The 19,581-nt window shown below is 50.4% G+C and overlaps 2 annotated features.

The window, feature by feature from the left end:
- Window positions 1,162-1,211: an enhancer, noted in NCBI's record as "active region_26310". NCBI's record gives its function as "activates an Ori minimal core promoter by ATAC-STARR-seq in GM12878 lymphoblastoid cells {active_cell/tissue: GM12878}" and the evidence as "EXISTENCE:reporter gene assay evidence [ECO:0000049][PMID:35858748]".
- Window positions 16,329-16,904: an enhancer, noted in NCBI's record as "H3K27ac-H3K4me1 hESC enhancer chr7:98423765-98424340 (GRCh37/hg19 assembly coordinates)". NCBI's record gives its function as "activates a minimal SCP1, AML or CMV promoter by ChIP-STARR-seq in naive H9 embryonic stem cells {active_cell/tissue: H9 hESC(naive)}" and the evidence as "EXISTENCE:reporter gene assay evidence [ECO:0000049][PMID:30033119]".

Genomic DNA, 19,581 nt, shown 5'->3' with positions numbered 1-19,581 from the left:
GGCTCAAGCGATCCTCCCACCTCAGCCTCCCAAGTAGCTGGTACCACAGGTGTCCATTGCCACACCCAGCTGACTTTTAAATTTTCTGTTGAGACGGGGTCTTGCTATGTTGCCCAGGCTGGTCTCAAACTCTTGGCCTCAAGCAATCCTCCTGCCTTGGCCTCTCAAAGTGCTGAGATTATAGGTGGCTAATTTTTTAAGAAAGTTTTTGTAGAGATAGGGGTCTTGCTGTGTTGCCCAGACTGGTCTTGAACTCCTGGCCTCAAGTGATCCTCCTGCCTTGGCCTCCCAAAGTGCTAGGATCACAGGTATAAGTCACCACACCTGGCTAATTAAAAAAAATTTTTTTTGTAAAGATGGGGTCTTGCTGTGTTGCCCAGGTTTGTCTCGAACTCCTGGCCTCAGGTGATCCTCTTGCCTCAGCCTCCTGAAGTGCTGGGATTATAGGTGTGAGCCAGTGTGTCCAGCACTATTTTATATTATGCTTTTGAAAACATTATTCTGAGAAGAGGGCTTGACTTGACTTAAAGGGGTTCATAGTGCCAAAAATTTCATCAGTAGGTGTTTTCCTTTATATAAAATTTCATCAGTAGGTGTTTTCCTTTATATATATATATATGTATGTATGTATGTGTGTGTGTGTATATATATATATATATTTATTTATTTATTTGTTGAGACGGAGTCTTGCTCAGTCACCCAGGCTGGAGCGCAATGGCGCGATCTCAGCTCACTACAACCTCTGCCTCCCGGGTTCAAGAAATTCTCCTGCCTCAACCTCCCAAGTAGCTGGGATTACAGGCACCCGCCACCATGCCCGGCTAATTTTTATATTTTTAGTAGAGACAGGGTTTCACTGTGTTAGCCAGGCTGGTCTTGAACTCCTGAGCTCAGGGTGATCCGCCCGCCTTGGCCTCCCAAAGTGCTGGGATTACAGGCCTCCCAAAGTGCTGAGATTACACCCTGTAAGTGTTTTCTAGAGAGGCCCACATAGGCAATGAGGGGTGATGGAGGACACTACTTTCTGGGGGCCTTAGAAGATCTAGGAGATGAAGTGCCAGGGCCCCAAGCCATCTGCATGCTGTGCCCAGTATGTCCAGCAGGTGGCAGTGTCTGACCGGCTATGCTTTCTGCAGGCTCCCAGCCTCTGCCAGGTGCACCGGGGGGCATGGCGGGCAGAGGGGCATGGATGGGCAGGGTCCTGGCATTGCAGCACCTGCCGACACACCTGCATGAACACACAGGCACACTGTACGCACACACATATACTCACATTCACATTGGTGAAACAGCCAAGCTGGCAACCAACTTCTAGAACCTTCAGCCCCTTCCAGGACAGAAGACATTCCTGGGACTCTGGCCCTTGAGAAATCTTTTCAGAAGAGGAGGTCACTTTTGTTTTGCCTCTTCTTTTTCTTGCCCAATAGCTTTTCCGAGAAATCTACAGGTCAGCATGAGTCAACAGCTACAGCCACAAGATAGTTTGACTGTGGGTTGAGGAAATGGAGATCTGTGTTCCAGCCTGGCTCTGTGACCTTGGGCCAGCCACTGAATCTGTCCAAGCTTTTGTTTTTTCATGTTGTACCATGTGGATAAAGAGGGAACTCGCTGTAATCTCAGCACTTTGAGAGGCCAAAGTGGGAGGATCGTTTGAGGCCAGGAATGTGAGACACAGCCTGGGCAGCACAGCGAGACCCCATCTCTACAAAAAATAAAATTAAAAAAATTAGCTGGGCATGATGGTGGGTGCCTGTAGTCGCAACTACTAGGGAGGCTGAGGTAGGAGGATTGCTTGAGCCCAGGAGTTGGAGGCTGCAGTGACCTAGGATCACACCACCGCACTCCAGCCTAGGTGGCAGAGCAAGACCCTGTGTCTTTAAAAAAAAAGAGAGAGAGAGAGAAAAAGAGGGAAAGGGTGCGTTGGTGTGTTTTTCTAGGCATTCATTCAGGAAACATTGTGGAGGCATCCACAGCTCGCTGCCCTCGGGACCCAGCAGAGCCTAGATACCTGCCCATTTTTTCCCAGCTTGTTGACCATCATGAATCACACAACTCAGCAATTAAAAGATAACCCACTTTAAAAAAAAATGGGCAAAGGACTTGAATAGACATCTAGCCAAAGAAAATATACAAATGGCCAATAAGCCCATGGAAAGATGCACGATGTCATTGGTCATTAAGGAAATGCAAATCCAAACCACAATGAGACACCACTTCATACCTCCTAGGGCTGTTGATTCTATAGGAAGAAGTGTGAAGAGAGACTGAGGGAGCGGCCCACCTCCTCCCTGACCCCCTTTCCAGACTGTGCTGTATTTTCCAGCTGGGAATGGAAGATTCTATAGGAAGAGGTGTGAAGAGAGACTGAGGGAGCTGCCCACCTCCTCCCTGACCCCCTCTCCAGACTGTGCTGTATTTTCCAGCTTCTCACCGGCTCTACATGTGACCCACAGCAACCCTTGCCCTATAGTCTCCCGAGCTGAGCTTCTCACTGGGGAGGGGAAGCTCCTAAGTGAACTCCTCCCTCTGCAGGCATCTTTCTGACCTGTTTTCTGCTGGGCATTGGGGACAGTGGCTCAGAGGCGTGCAAGTCCCGGCTGCCACTCCCTTCCATCAGATGATGGGGATCAGCTGCTTCAGGGCCCCGGAGCAGGGTTGTGGTGGGGAGATGAAGGAGGGAGGGAGCAGAGGCCACCAGCTGGACCCCTGCATGAGATCCTGGGGAGAGCAGGGAGGCCTTTGGGGATCCCGGGTGCATTAACCACTTGGTGCCACTGTCGCCACCTCGGCTCTGGACAGCTGCTCATTCCGGGGCTGCCACCACTGTGGACGGCGTGATCAGTCCACCTGTTTCTCCCGCTTCTACTATCCCCCTGTGTCTGCTCTTCTCTGTAAACTGCACACTGTACATGTATGCATCATGTGTGTGTGCATGAGTGTGTGTACGTGTGTGGGGGCATCTGAATGATAGGTACTTTCCTTCCTTTCTTCCTTTTCCTGAGACAGAGTCTCACTCTGTTGACCAGACTGGAGTGCAGTAGCACCAACATGGCTCACTGCAGCCTCAACCCCATGGGCTCAAGGGATCCTCCCACCTCAGCCTCCTCAGTAGCTGGGACTATAGGCATGCATGACCATGCCGGCTAATTTTTGTATTTTCATAGAGATGGGGTCTCTCTGTGTTGCCCAGGCTGGTCTCAAACTCCTGAAACCAAGCAATCTCTCCACCGCAGCCTCCCAAAATGCTGGGATTACAGGCGTGAGCCACCACACCAGGCTCGTTTTTGTATTTCTGTTTTTTTTTTTTGAGACGGAGTCTCGCTCTGTTGCCCAGGCTGGAGTCCAGTGGCGCGATCTCGGCTCACTGCAAGCTCCGCCCCCCGGGTTCACGCCATTCTCCAGCCTCAGCCTCCTGAGTAGCTGGGACTACAGGTGCCCACCACCACGCCTGGCTAATTTTTTATATTTTTAGTAGAGATGGGGTTTCACCGTGTTAGCCAGGATGGTCTCGATCTCCTGACCTCGTAATCCATCTGCCTCGGCCTCCCAAAGTGCTGGGATTACAGGCGTGAGCCACCGCGCCTGGCCCATTTATGTATTTTTTTTGGAGAGACAGAGTCTCACTGCGCTGCCCAGGCTGGCCTCAAACTCCTGAAACCAAACGATACCCTCAACCACAGCCTCCCAAAGTGCTGGGATCACAGGTGTGAGCCACTGTGCCTGGCTCAATGCTGGGTGCATTTTAAAGTCACGAGAGAGTGTGTGTTGAGTTAACATTTTGGAGACTGTGATCAGCAAACAGTCCCCAGCGCAGACACCCTCTCTGGTGGGGTTTGGGTTTTGCTGCCTTTTAATTTTCTTCCAGCTGCCTCCAAAGCACCTTTGTGCTCCTAGGAACAAGCACTGGGTGTTGGGGGCGGGGTGGGGGGGCGGGGTTGCTATAAGCTCTTCTGAGAGGAAGCCTCAGGGAGCAAGGTCCCAATGGCCAGGCTTCCCTTTAAGACAAGGTTGTCCTGCTGAAACCAGGTCCTCAACTCCTAGGTCCCCAAAGGGCATTTGACCCGACACTGGGCTGCTGCAGGCTTGGTCCTGGGGGAGACTGGGGGTGTGTAGCAGGAAGTGCTTCTCTCAAGCAGAGACCACAGCTTGTGTCTCTGGGCCACACACTGGAGCGTTATTTTCCAAACTGCCGCTGGGTCAGCTCACTCTCCCACTCCAAACCCTCAGGGATTCCCCATAACATTGAGCCCCAGGTCCAAACACTTAAGGATTATCATCCCAGCTGCTACCCTCCAGCTCATTTGCTACATCTTTCACACTTTGCTTGTTTGTTTGTTTTGTTTTTGTTTTTGAGACAAGATCTAGCTTTGTTGCCCAGGCTGGAGTGCAGTGGCATGATCATAGCTCACTGCAGCCCCCAACTTCTGGGCTCAAGTGATCCTCCCACCTCAGCCTCCCAAGTAGCTGGGACCACAGGCGTGCACCACCACGCCCAGCTAGTTTTAAAATTTTCTGTCGAGATGGGGTCTCACTATGTTGCCCAGGCTGGTCTCAAACTCCTGGCCTCAAGTCATCCTCCCCCCTTGGCCTCCCAAAATGCTGGGCTCACAGGCATGAACGACAGTGGCATCTGGTCCCCCGATTCTGCCTTTGTTTATTCCTTTCTATTAAAACAATTTTTTTTGCTGGGCGCGGTGGCTCACGCCTGTAATCCCAGCACTCTGGGAGGCCGAGGTGTGTGGATCACAAGGTCAGGAGATCGAGACCATCCTGGCTAACACGGTGAAACCCCGTCTCTACTAAAAATACAAAAAATTAGCCGGGCATGGTGGTGGGTGCCTGTAGTCCCAGCTACTAGGGAGGCTGAGGCAGGAGAACGGTGTGAACCCGGGAGGTGGAGCTTGCAGTGAGCCGAGATTGCACCACTGCACTCCAGCCTGGGCGACAGAGCGAGACTCCGTATCAAAAAAAAAAAAAAATTTACTATTGAGCAGCTTGCAGACTTTAAGATCAGAGTGTTGTCTCTCTTGCAATAAATGCTTTCCTCCTTTTTTTTTTTTTTTTTTTGAGATGGGGTCTTGCTCTGTCACCAGGCTGGAGTACAGTGGCACAATCATAGCCCACTATAGCCTCAACTTCTTAGGCTCAGGGGATCCGCCTGCTTCAGCCTTCCAAGTAGCTAGGACTACAGGTGTGTGCCATCGCACCTGGCTAATTAAACTTTTTTTTTTTTTGTAGAGATGGGGGTCGCCCTATGTTGCCCAGGCTGGTCTTGAACTCTTGGGCTCAAGGGGTCCTCCTGTTTTGGCCTCCCAAATTACTGGGATTACAGGCATGAGCCTCCACACGCGGCACCTTTTCCTCCTTTGCAATAGCCCTTTTGAAGAAAGTCTCTCCTTACTAAGCCTGGATTTATTTTTATTTGACACTCTTGAGAGATGGTTGTTAGTGACTGGGCTCAAATTTCAGGAGACTCAGCAGGAAGCCTTCCCTCCTGTTCCCTGGGATGTGTGGGCCCTACCGGAGGCTCTAAACAGGGCCCCACAATTGGTGGGGAAAATGCTTTCATGTGCGAAGGAGCAAAACCACACGATTTTAGCCCCAAGTCTATTACAACACACAGACAGGGTTAGACTCCCCCAGCCACCCTCTCCCCACACAGCCCAGCGTCATCCCCCACTAGTTCAGCATTCACAATAAAAGCCAGGAAACAAAAGACGGTCTCATGCAAAGACCTGGAGACCTGATCTGTTCTTGGAACCAGGAAGGGGAAAATGCACCAAGAACAAAACAGAAATTAATCTCTCAGTGATTCCTCCTACCTGAGCACCTCACCGAGGTCACAGAGCTGGGGGCCGCAGAGCTGGGATTTGAGGTCCTGGGCTGCTGGATGGATCACCACCCTCCTGGGCATCTCAGCAGGTGCTTCTTAGACTTTCTGACAGCTGACCTGCCCGAGGCCCACCTATCCCAGAGTGACCAGGTGGAGGTTGGACCAGGAAGATGGGAGCTGAGCCGCAGGAGTTGCTGTGACCATCAGGGGGCGCCCAGACTCCAGAGGAACAGGAGGAGTTTAGGGCCCAACTCAGAGGGTTCAAGACCCTGTCTGGCTCAAATCCTTGCAAGCTGCATGATAGAAATAAGCAGAAAATAAGCTGGCTTTTCTGAGTCTCATTTTCCTTATCTCAATTGAGGGAAATAATAGCACCCACCTAGGGAACCCTGTGCCATGTGCTGCATAGGGAGGACTTAGAAAATATTAACTACACGACCACTGTCAACCCCAATCTACAGTTGGGAAATCGGAGCCCAGAGAGCTGGGGCTACTTGCACATAAAAACTAGAGAAATGTCCCCACCCAGTTCTTAATAAAAATCCAGTTGAGGCCGGGCACGGTGGCTCACGCCTGTAATCCCAGCACTTTGGGAGGCAGAGGCGGGCAGATCACTTGAGGCCAGGAGTTCGAGACCAGCCTGGTCAACATGGTGAAACTCTGTCTCTACTAAAAATACAAAAATTAGCCGCACATGGTGAAGTGCACCTGTAATCCCAGCTACTCGGGAGGCTGAGGCAGGAGAATCGCTTGAACCTGGGAGGTGGAGGCTGCAGTGAGCCGAGAGCATGCCACTGCACTTCAGCCTGGGAGACAGAGCAAGACTCCGTCTCAAAAAAAAAATGAAGTTGGCAGCATGGCTCAGGCATGCCTTCACACCAGGTTCCAGAATCTTCTAGTGCCCCTGGAACAGAGATCTTTATTTTTGTTGTTGTTTTTGTTTTTTGAGACAGAGACTATTCTGTTATCCAGGCTGGAGAGCAGTGGCATGATCTTGGCTCATTGCAACCTCCACCTCCTGGGTTCAAGTGATTCCCGTGCCTCAGCCTCCTGTGTAGCTGGGATTACAGGCATGCGCCACCACACCTGGCTAATTTTTGTGTTTCTAGTAGAGACGGAGTTTCATCATGTTGGCCAGGCTGGTCTCAGCCTCCTGGCCTCAAGTGATCCGCCCGTCTCTGTCTCCCAAAGTGCTGGGATTACAGGCGTGAGCCACTGCGCCCGGCTGTAACATAGATTTGTATTGGAATAGGTAGCTCCCTGCAGTGGATAATGCTGGGACCACCATGGGGACAGAGAGAGCCCCAGGTCTGAGCCCCAGCTTGGCCACAGGCAGCCACACTGACCTCTTTGAGCCTCAGTTTCCCCCAGAGATAATGCTTGGAAGTGGTTGGAAATTAGGTGTGGGGATGTTGTGGAAATGCTTTGTTTCCAGGAAAATTGGCCCCAGTTTGGAACCCCTTGAGGGCAGGGTCGGTGGCCAACCGCTTCCCGGTGAGGATACCAGGGACGAGGGGACCAAGGCTAAAGGATCACAAAATCTCTCCGCCTAAGGGACCGGGCTAGGGCCACTGCAGAGGATGGAGGGACACCATTGTCCTGAGTGTCCTGGGGTAGCCAGGGAAGGAGAGCTTGTCCCAGGAGCCTTGTCCACCGCCTGGGTCTTCTGACTGCGGAATATTTGTCCACGGGGCACCTCACCAACAATGGATTTTTCCCTCAATGCCCTGACCTTGAGGAGAGCACTCTCTGTGATTTTCCTCACAGCCTAGCCTGCAGCTCCATCTTTAAAAATAGTTGCAGAAAAACCCATTGCTTATTCAATGAGCTCTTTTGTTAAAAAAAAGAATACCCTGCAGCTTCAGTTTGTTTAGTTCCTAAAAAACACACTGCAGTTATCAAAGAGCTGGCTCATTAAAGAAAATAGGATGATGGGAAGGAGGAAGAGGGGGTAGGGCTGGGGACGGCGTTGGAGCAGAGCTGGGCTGGGCTGGGCCATGGCTGGAGGGCCAGGCTCAGACGCAAACTTCCAGTCCCTTCTGCAAATCTGGGACAATCATTCTACCTCTTTGGGCCTCAGTTTTCTCATCTGTATGTTGGGGATAATAATGATGATGATGATGATGATAGGGGCCAGGTGCGTGGTGGCTGTTTTCCCAGCACTTTGGGAAGCTGAGGTAGGAGGATCGCTTGAGCCCAGGAGGTCAAGACCAGCCTGGGCGACATAGCGAGACCCTCGTCTCTACAAAAAATTTAAAGAAAAATTAGCCAGGCCTGGTGACACACACCTGTAGTGCCAGCTACTTGGGAGGTTGAGGCGGGAGGACCACTTGAGCCCAGGAGTCGGAGGCTACAGTGAGCTATGATTGCACCACTGTACTTCAGCCAGGATGACAGAGTGAGACCCTGACTCTAATAATAATGATGATGATGATGTTGGGTGCCGGAATTCAGGGCTGAGTAGGGCACTGTTCCTCCTTCCACTTCCCCTCGCCTCCCCAGGCAAACTTCTGGAGAGAATGACTCCTTCCTGTCTGCCCACTGCTCAATGGGACCTGGCCTCTTCACTCCTGTCTCCTCGGAAATTGCTGTTAACAAAGATATCGAGAATGTTCACGTGGCCGAATCCACCTTATTCAAGAAATAGGCCAGGCGCAGTGGCTCACTCCTGTAATCCCAGCACTTTGGGAGGCTGAGGCAGGTGGATTACTTGAGGTCAGGAGTTTGAGATCAGCCTGGCCAACATGAAGAAACCCCATCTCTACTAAAAATACAAAAATCAGCCAGGTGTGGTGGTGCATGCCTGTAATCCCAGCTACTCAGGAGGCTGAGGCAGGAGAATCACTTGAACCCGGGAGGCGGAGGTTGCAGTGAGCTGGGATCGTGCCATTGCTTTCCAGCCTGGGTGAGAGAGTGAGACTCCATATCAAAAAAAAAAAAAAAAAAAAAAAAAAAAGAAAGAAAAGAAAGAAAGAAAAAAAAAGAAAAGAAAATAAATATGTGTTGATCACCTCCTGTAAGCCAGGGAGTGATCTCTACAAAAATTTGTTTGTAGAGACAGGGGTCTCACTATGTTGCCCAGGCTGGTCCTACACAGCTTCCAGCCTCATCCTGCCTGGAGCTTGGAGGGGTGCTAGGTCCTGGGCCCCAGCCCTTCCCTCCAAAACCCTGTGTTCTCCTGGTTTCCCTTCTGCCCGCTAGTCGGGGTTTCCCTCCTTTTTCCTGACTTTCTCTCTAATGTTGTATCTCAGAGCTCAGTGCTGGGAACCCTGCTGTGTCACCTGTCCCTAAAGGATCTCTCTCTCTCCAGGAGGTCACCTTGCCAGTAAGCAGCTCAGGAGAGCTGCGGCCACCTCTCACCTCCACAGCAGAGCTCTCTGAGGTGGCACCTGTCCATGTCTCGGCTGTCGGTCCCTCCAAGACTCAGAGCCACCTACCCAGAACCCACTGTGCCATGCCTGAGCTTACTCATCATTCACTCTCCCTAGGATAGGGTCCTAATTTTGTCCCGGAGAGCCATGGACCCAACTAAACTATATTTTCCAGTCCCCCATATGGCTAGGGGTGGCTGATGAGATTAAAGCAGAAGTTTTGGGTGAAATTTCTATGAAATTTCCTTAAAAGACAGGCAGCTTTTTCCATCCCTGGCACCTGTAGTGCCAGCTACCTGAGGCTGAGGCAGGAGGACTGCTTGAACCCAGGAGTTGGGGGCTACAGTGAGCTATGGTCACACCACTGTACTCCAGTCTGACAATAGAGTGAGACCCTGTCTTTAATAATAATGATGATAATGATGTTGGGGCCACCATCCTAACCCAAGCCCCTCTCTTGTCTGGTGAGCTTGATGACAATGGTTTCCCAACTGGCTTCCCTCCTCCCTCCATCCTCCCCAAAGCTGCCAGAGGCATAAGTATCTGACTTTCCAGGCATAAGTATCCAGGCATAAATACTTTCCAGGCATAAGCGTCTGACCCTGTCATTGCCGTGCTCCAACACCTGCTGTGGCTCCCCATTACCCAGGAAGAAGTTCAAGCTCCCCATTGAGTTTATGAGAATTCCAGACCTCTCCATGTCCCTTTCTGCCCTCTTCCTCCCCATCTAAGCCCTAGTCCCATCCTGTTCCATAGAAATATAATGTGAGCCACATATGTAATTTTTTTTTGAGATGGAGCTTCACTCTGTTGCCCAGTCTGGAGTGCAGTGGTGTGATCTTGGCTCACTGCAACCTCCAACTCCTGGGCTCTAGCGATTTTCCTGCCTCAGCCTCCTGAGAAGCTGGGATTACAGGCCTGCATCATCATACCCAGCTAATTTTGTATTTTTAGTAGAGATGGACTTCCACCATGTTGGCCAGGCTGGTCTTGACCTCCTGACCTCAAGTGATCTGCCTGCCTTGGCCTCCCAAAGTGCTAGGATTACAGGCATGAGCCACCACGCCAGGCCCCACATTTTAATAATATATTTTTAGTACACTCCTTCTAAAATATTATCATCTCACTATGCAATCAATATAACATTTAGTAATAACATATTTTACCTTCTTTTTTTCTTTGTTCTATGTCTTCACCGTCTGGTGTGCGTACTTTCCTTTTATAGAGCATTTCAACATGATCTGTGTTTAGATTTTGTAAAATGTACAGTTTAAAAAATAGATATACATATTCGAGTTGTACCAAACATAATTAAAAGTCTTCCAGTGACTGAATTAAAGATCCGTGTTTAAATTTTAATTTTAACTAATTAAAATAAAATAAAATTTAAAATTCAGCTCCTTGGTGGCACTAGCCTATTTCAAGTGCCCAGCAGCCGCCTGTGGCTGGTGGCTGTGGCATTGGATGGCACAGCTCGGCCTCTTGACCGGCACTGACCACGCTTACCTTTCCTCGATGATGGAAGCCTTCTGTGCTTGCATCGCGCAATGGTGTGTGGCGTTTGAGCACTGAGGAACTTAATTTTTAATTCTGTTTACTTTTCACTGATTTAAATTTAGGCTGGGTATGGTGGCTCATGCCTTTAATCCTGGCACTTTGCAAGGCCTAGATGGGAGGATAGCCTGAGCCCAGGAGTTTGAGAGCAGCCTGGGGAACACAGCGAGACCCTGTCTCTACAAAACAACAACAACAACAACAACAACAACAACAAAACCAAGTTAGCTGGGTGTGGTGGTGGGGACCTGTAGTCCCTGCTACTTAGGAGGCTGAGGCAGGAGGATTGTTTGAGCCCAGGAAGTTGAGGCCGCAGTGAGTGGTGATTGCACCACTGCACTCTAGCCTGGGCAACACAACAAGATCCTGCCTCTGAAAACAAAGAAAGAAAGAAATGAAATAAAATGAAAATCAGCTTAAATGGCCACATCTGGTCAGTGGCGCCCCCTGCTGGAGAGAGCAGGCCTTGTCATACTGAGCTTCTGGCATTCCCCACACACGTAGTGGCCCTCTCGCCTCTGACCGAAACATTCGAACCTCACCCTAGTCTTTCTCTTGGCTGAGTCGCAAACATCAATTAGCTGTTAGGGGATGGCCCAGCTTGCCTCTGTAGTTCCCCATTCCAATAATTACATGTTTATTATAATAAATTGTTTAATTTATCTTCCCAGGTAGAGGGTGAGCGCCGTGAGGGCACAGACCAAGGCCATCTTGTTTATCACTGTCTCTCCAGTGTTTTGGGAGGAGTACACAGTGGGCATTCCAGAAGACTTATTGAATGAATGAATGAATGAGTGAATAGCCATGAATGGACAAATGAATATTCATAAAGGAATACATATTCATGAATGATCAAATGAATATCCATGAAGAAATGAATAATCATGAATGAGTGAATGAATGTGAATGAATGAATGAATGTGAATGAATGAATGTTCATGAATGAATGAAGTGCCACACTGCCTGGGACCCCACTGTGAGACAGTGTTCTTTGTGGTTGAGCATTGCCTTTCTCTTCTTTCTCTTCTTCCTCCCTTTTCAGGCCAGCAAATTCCCAACACCATAGTGATAGCTGCTATTTATGGAGCACTTAGAATGTGCTAGGAGCAATGTTTAGAACACTTGATGTCCATTAGCTTATTTCATCCCCATATCAATCCTGTAATGAGGGTAGGATTATTCACGGCATTTTAAAGGTGAAGGAGCTGAGGCACAGAGAGGTTTAGTAACTTGTTCAAGGTCACACACCCAATAATTGACAGAACCAGAGCTAGGCAACCTGGCTCCAGAGGCCACGGTCAAACCAACTACAAGAAGTGATTTTCCAGCTGTTTGGATCATACAGTAAGAAGTACGTTTTACATTCAGCACATTACCTCCCCACCCACGCCTGAAAAAAGTTTATAAAGTATTGCTTACATTATCACATGGAAAGAATCCTGGTGTGTTCTATTCTAGACTGTTCTTTTTTAAAAAAAAAAAATTATAGATGGGATCTCACTATGTGGCCCAGGCTGGAGTGCAGTGCTGTGATCATAGCTCACTGCAGCCCCAACCTGCTGGGCTTAAGCCATCCTCCCACCTCAGCCTCCTGAGTAGCTGGGACTACAGGTGCACGCCACCATGATCGACTAATCTTTAAAATTGTCTATAGAGATGTGGGGGGTGGGTGGGGGGGGTCTTGCTATGTTGCCCAGGCAGGTCTCGAACTTCTGGCCTCAAACGATCCTCCTGCCTTGGCCTTCCAAAGTTCTGGGATTACAGGCATGAGTCACCACACCGGACTTAGATGGTTCTATTTTATTCTATCTCATTTAAGAAGATGCTGGTTCTGACCCCACCAAAGCTATTTCATGACCCATTCCACTATACTATTTTTACAAACCTTCTAGTAGAGAACATTTCAAACACACAAACGTGGAGGGAAAATAGAGGCCTCCTCCCATGTGACCTTATCACTCACCAGCAATTTTCAGCATGTTTTTGTTTTTTGTTTGTTTTTTGAGATGGAGTCTTGCTCTGTCACCCAGGCTGGAGTGCAATGGCGCGATCTCGGCTCACTGCAACCTCCGCCTCCCGGGTTCAAGCGATTCTCCTGCCTCACCCTCCCAAGTAGCTGGGATTACAGGTGTGCACCACCATGCTCGGCTGATTTTTGTATTTTTAGTAGAGATGGGGTTTCACCATGTTGGCTAGGCTAGTCTCACACTCCTGACCGCAAGTGATCCGCCCGACTCAGCCTCCCAAAGTGTTGGGATTACAGGGGTGAGCCAACTTGCCCTGCCAATTTTCAGCTTGTGGTCAATCCTGTTTCTTGCTAACCCTGCACACTTCCCCACCTGTGAGTTTTGCAGCATCTCCCAGACTTGATATCATTGAATCTGTAAATGTTTCAATCCTTGTCTTAGTGTGCAGGAACTGCCGTAACAAAATACCATAGACTGGGCAGCTTAAAAAGCAAACACTTGGCCGGGTGTGGTGGCTCACGCTTGTAATCCCCGGCATTTTGGGAGGCCAAGGCGGGTGGATCACAAGTTCAGAAGTTTGAGACCAGCCTGGCCAACACAGTGAAAGCTCATCTCTACTAAAAACACAAAAATCAGCTGGGTGTGGTGGTGGGCGCCTGCAATCCCAGCTACGCGGGAGGCTGAGGCAGGAGAATTGCTTGAACCTGGGAGGCGGAGGTTGCAGTGAGCTGCGATTGCACCACTGCACTCCAGCCTGGGTGATAGAAATAGACTCCATATCAAAAAAAAAAAAAAAAAAAGGCAGACACTTATCTTCTCACAGTTCTGGAGGCTGGACATCCAAGATCAAGGTTCTGCTAAGACTGATTTCTTTTTTTTTTTTTTTTGAGACAGAGTCTTGCTCTTGTTGCCCAGGCTGGAGTTCAGTGGCACCATCTTGGCTCACTGCAACCTCTGCCTCCTGGGTTCAAGTGATTCTCCTGCCTTAGCCTCCCGAGTAGCTGGGATTACAGGCACGTGCCACCACGCCAGCCTTTTTGTATTTTTAGTAGAAATGGGGTTTTGCCGTGTTGGCCAGGCTGGTCTTGAACTCCTGACCTCAAGTGATCCATCCACCTTGGCCCCCGAAAAAGAGCTGGGATTACAGGCATGAGCCACTGAGCCCAGCCCTTCTAGGGTTGATTTTTCTTTCCCTTCCCCACTTCCACCTCCCCTCCCCTTCCCTCTCCTCCCCTCCCCTTTCTCCCTTCTTTTAGGAGACAGGGTCTTGCTCTGTCACCCAGGCTGGAGTGCAGAGGCACAATCATAGCTTACTGCAGCCTCAACTTCCCAAGCTCAAGGGCCGCTTCTCGCTATGTCCTCACACGACTTTCCTTGGTGCCTGTGTGCAGAGGCGCACTGGCATCCTCTTCCTTTTATAAGGACACCAATCCTATCAGATCAGGACCCCACACTCATGACCTCATTTACCTGAATTACCTCCTTATAGATCTCATCTCCGAATACAGCCACACTAGGGGTCAGGCTTCAACATATGAATTCAACTTACTGAATGTCTGGACACAAACATTCAGCCTGTAATGGTCTGTACCAGTTTTAGCAAAGATGTCCTCCCTCAGTGGGGAGAAGATGGGGATATCAGGTACTTAGAGGGCTGGAGTGAAGAGGACAGACAGAAAGGTGCTAGGGTCTGGCCATGCATGGTGGCTTATGCCTGTCATCCCAGCACTTTCGGAGGCTGAGATAGGAGGATCGCTTCAAGCAAGGAATTTGAGACCAGACTGGGCAACATAGTCAGACCCCATGTCTACAAAAAGTTTAAAAATAAGCCGAGGACGGGCTCGGTGGCTCACACCTGTAGTCCCAGCACTTTGGGAGGCCGAGGTGGGTGGATCACGAGGTCAAGAGATAGAGACCATCCTGGCCAACATGGTGAAACCCGGTCTCTACTAAAAATACAAAAATTAGCTGGGCATGGTGGCGCATGCCTGTAGTCCCAGCTACTCAGGAGGCTGAGGCAGGAGAACCGCTTGAACGCAGGAGGCAGAGGTTGCCGAAAGCGTCGTGCCACTGCACTCCAGCCTGGCAACAGAGTGAGACTCCGTCTAAAAAAAAAAAAAAAAAAGCCGGGCATAGTGGCATGCACCTGTAGTCCCACCTACTAAGGAGGCTGAGGCGGGAGGATCACTTGAGTCCAGGAGTTCCAGGCTGTAGTGAGCTATGATCGCACCAGTGCACTGCAGCCTGGGCTACAGAGTAAGACCCTGTCTCTAAAAGAAAAAAGGTGCTAAGGTCTGCTCACGAAGGTCTGGTACACCTGGAGAGGAGGAGAGGGAGGCAGGGGAGGTAACAGGCCCTGTCTGTAACGCCAGCTGTAACAGAGAGCTGTCTGCGGAGCATTCTGGGGTGTTAAGGGCCCCTGTGCTTTGTGCCTGAGAGGGACTGTACTCATGGGCTGGAATGAAGACCTCAGGAGACCTGAGCTCCTGTTCCCCAGGATCACCACATGGCTTAGGCAAGCTGATTGTCTTTCTGACCTCAGTTTCCCCTCCGTAAAACCAGAAGTTTCAGATCAGCATGCCCAGCTCATCGATTCCTGGATTTCCACCACTGCGGCTCAAGATCAGGGCTTGCACACAGGCAAATGCCAGCAGGTCTCTCCAGGTTGTGCGTTTTTATTTTTTTAGAGACAGTACCTCACTGCAGCCTTGACCTCCCAGCCTCAAGGGATCCTCCTGCCTTAGCCTCCCAAGTAGCTAGGACTACAGGTGCATGCAACGATGTCTGGGTACATTTATTTTTCTTTTTTGTAGAGATGGGTGGGGGAGGGTCTCACTATGTTGCCCAGGCTGGTCTTGAACTCTTGGCCTCAAATGATCCTTCTGCCTTGGCCTCCCAAAGCACTGGGATTATAGGCATGAGCCATTATGCCAGGCCCTCTGGGTTGTTTCTGGGAGGATGGAGGGATCCAGTGTCTTAGGGGAGGAAGTTGAGGGCCACCTGGAGCAGGGCTGGAAGGGGGCATAGTCCTTGCTGATGGGGAAGATTACGTTAGAGATGGGGGTGGGGAGTGGGGGAGGGGGTTAGCAACCCCCTGATGGGCCATTCTGATGAAAAGTGGAGTGTTAAGACCAGGTCCTGAGGGGGTAGGAGAAGGGGTCAGGGACAGCTCTCAGAGGCAGGATTGGCTGAGGGACGTCCAGGGCCAGGTGGCCTTGTTTCAGTTTAAAGGTGTCCAGGGCTGTGCTGGAGCCCGGAAAAAGCCGCCTACAGGCAGCGTTGAGTCCCTGAAGCTCTGTGGATGTGACGTCTGGCCGAGAAGGACGGCTGGCACAGGGCACTCCCTGTAGCAGGGCAGATGGAGAATTCAGCGAGAGCCAGAACTGAGTGCCAGATGGGCCTGGAGCCGTGTCAGCCTGCTGAGAATCCCCGGAGAGCCGACGGGCACCAAGCCCAGTGTTGTTGAAATGTGGCAGGACAAGGTGACCCCAGATGGCCGGCAGGCTTGAGGGTGAGGAAGAGGCTGGCAGATGGGCCAATGGTGGGAGAAAGTCTGTGCTGTGATTTCAGCTGGGTTCCCCAAACTCGCCCCCGTGCTTGCACACGGCCAGCAGGTACGCACACCTGTGTAGGTGTGCACACCACGGTGCGACCGCAGACACGCAGACACCTGGGGCGGCAGGCCTGCCTCCGCCTCCAGCTCTCACCACCGACATCCTCTGTTCCTAGAGGTGTGTTGTCCTAGAAATCCCTTTGCCGTTCGAGGATTTCTTGGATGCTGCGGCCAATTTTCATTCCTGCCACGAAGCTTCTCCGCAGACCCTGCCAGGAACATCTCTTTTTCATTTATTTCGGGCACAGGAGAAGCAGCAAGAGGAAGAACCCTGCAGACGTCTCCGTGGTATTTTCATCAACACGGCAGCCTCCTGAGCACGTACACCCTGAAGCCAGGGCCTGGCTCCAAAGAGCGGTGGGACCAGAGCCCCTCGCGGGGAGGCAGGGAAGCTGTGTGGAGGGGAGCACACCTCCCTCCCTCCCTCTCTCCTTCCCTCCCTCCCAGATCTGGCCCTTAGCACCTGCCTGACTCCCATGTCTTCTGTCCTGTGGGGGCAGGGGCCATGACTGGGTGCTCCACCTTTGTAGCTCCAGTGCCTAGGATGGAACCTGGCCCACTGGGTTGTGTTAGTTCAGGTCCTTTGGAATCAGAAGTCAAGAGAGATTTTATTTGGGGAATCACCTATATAGTGAATTAAATAATGTCCTTCTCAAAAGTTTATGTCCACCCAGATCTCAGAATGTAACTATTTGGAAACAGGGTTGTATTAATCCATTCTTCCCCCTACTTTTTTTTTTTTTTTTTTTTTTTTTTTTGAGATGGAATCTTGCTCTGTCACCCAGGCTGGAGTGCGATGGCGCCAACTCGGCTCACTGCAAGCCCTGCCTCCTGGGTTCAAGGGATTCCCTGCCTCAGCCTCCCAAGTAGCTGGGACTACAGGCACCCCCACCACACCCGGCTAGTTTTTTGTATTTTTAGTAGAGACAGGAGTTCACCATCTTGGCCAGGCTGGTCTTGAACTCCTGACCTCGTGATCCACCCACCTCGGCCTCCCAAAGTGCTGGGATTACAGGCATGAGCCACCACGCCTGGCCTGTATTAGTCCATTTTGTTTTGCTATATGGGAATACTTGAGGTTGGGTCATTTATGAAGAAAAGAGGTTTATTTGGCTCACGGCTCTGTGGGTTGTGCAAGCACAGCACTGGTGTCTGCTTCTTGTAAGAACCTCAGGAAGCCTCCAATCATGGCAGAAGGCAAAGTGGGAGCAGCCAGGTCACATGGCGAGAGAGGGAACAAGAGAGTGAGGAGGAGGTGCCAGGCTCTTTTTACCAATCAGATCTCACAGTAATTAATAGAGCAAGAATTCACTCATGACCATAGGGTGGGCACCAAGCCATTCATGAGGAACCCACTCCCACGACCCAAACACCTCCCACCAGGCCCCACCTTCAACATGGGGAATCATGTTTCAACATGAGATTTGGAGGTGACAAACATCCAAACTATACAACGGTCTGTGCAGGTATAATTAGTTAAGAATCTCAAGGTGAAATTATCTTGGATTTAGGGAAGACTCTAAGACCAATGACAGGTGTCCTTAGAAGAAGAGCTTAGAACACTGACATGCACAGAGAACAAAGCCATATGACAAGACAGACAGGGATTGGAGCAATGGGTCAACAAGCCAAAGAACACAAGGATTTGCCAGCAGTCACTAGAAGCTAGAAGAGACAGCCAGGCATGGTGGTGGCACATGCTTGTAGTCCCAGCTACTCGGGAGGCTGAGGCAGGAGAATCTCTGGAACCTGGGAGGCGGAGGTTGCAGTGAGCCGAGATTACACCAAGATTGCACTCCAGCCTGGACATCAAAGCGAGTCTCCATCTCAAAAAATAAAATAAAATAAAATAAATTTAAAAATAGGCCAGGCACGGTGGCTCACGCCTGTGATCCCAGCATTCTGGGAGGCCGAGGCGGGTGGATCACCAGGTCAGGAGATCGAGACCATCCAGGCTAACATGGTGAAACCCCGTCTCTACTAAAAATACAAAAAAACAAAATTAGCCGGGCATGGTGGCGGGCACCTGTAGTCCCAGCTACTCGGGAGGCTGAGGCAGGAGAAAGGCATGAACCCGGGAGGTGGAGCTTGCAGTGAGCCGAGATCACGCCATTGCTCTCCAGCCTGGGCGACAGAGTGAGACTCTGTCTCAAAAAAAAAAAAAAAAAAAATCAGCGCAGGGAAAGGATGCAGGGGGCAGAGTCCAGGAGGATTCAGCACATGGAGTTTCCAGTTGTCCCGTCCTTTGGAGTCATGGCTAGCATTCCCAACAATGATGCGTGACGACGTGCATGGAGTATTGCTAACCAGGGCAGCTCACCTGAGCCTTGGTGTCCAGTTTTTACTGGGGCTTGGTCATATAGACATGGCTGATGCCTGATGTGGCTGACAATCCCCATCCCCTCTGGAGGTCAAGCTGATGCTGTGTAGCCCAAAGCCTCCACCATAAGTCATGTACGTTGTTAGATTGCATAGCCCCAGGCCCCCAGGTAAACGAAGACATTCTTACCAGACAGGATGTTCTAAGGGCTTAGAGCTCACCTCCCGGGAGCTGGTGGTAAAAGCCATACCACTCTTTGGATAAAGTTAATTCTTTTTTTATTTTTATTTTTTATTTTAATTAATTAATTAATTTTTGACACAGAGTCTCGCTCTGTCACCCAGGTTGGAGTGCAGTGGTGCAATCTTGGCTCACTGCAGCCTCCACCTCCCAGGCTTAAGCAATCCTCCCACCTCAGTCTCCTGAGTAGCTGGGATTACAGGCACCCGTGACCACGCCCGGCTAATCTTTGTATTTTTAGTACAGACAGGGTTTCACCCTGTTGACCAGGTTGGTCTCGAACTCCTGGCCTCAAGTGATCCACCTGCCTCGGCCTCCCAAAGTGCTGGGATTACAGGCGTGAGCCACCGTGCCTGGCCATCTTTTATTTTTATTTTTAAATTAATTGTTTATTTTTTGAGATGGAGTCTCACTCTGTCACCCAGGCTGGAGTACAGTGGTGTGATCAGAGCTCACTGCAGCCTCCAACTCCTGGGCTCAAGCAATCCTCCTGCCTCAGCCTCCTGGGTAGCTGGGACTACAGGTCCACCACCATGTCTGACTGATTTTTAAATTTTTTTTGTAGTGATGATATCTTGCTATGTTGCCTAGGCTGGTCTCAAACTCCTGGCCTCAAGTAATCCTCCCACCTTGGCCTCCCAAAATGCTGGGATTCCAGGCGTAAGCCACTGCACCTGGCCTAG

This window comes from Homo sapiens, chromosome 7 (assembly GCF_000001405.40).
Source record: "Homo sapiens chromosome 7, GRCh38.p14 Primary Assembly".
In the NCBI taxonomy this organism is placed as follows: domain Eukaryota; kingdom Metazoa; phylum Chordata; class Mammalia; order Primates; family Hominidae; genus Homo; species Homo sapiens.
This window is presented reverse-complemented; position numbering and strand designations above follow the sequence as displayed.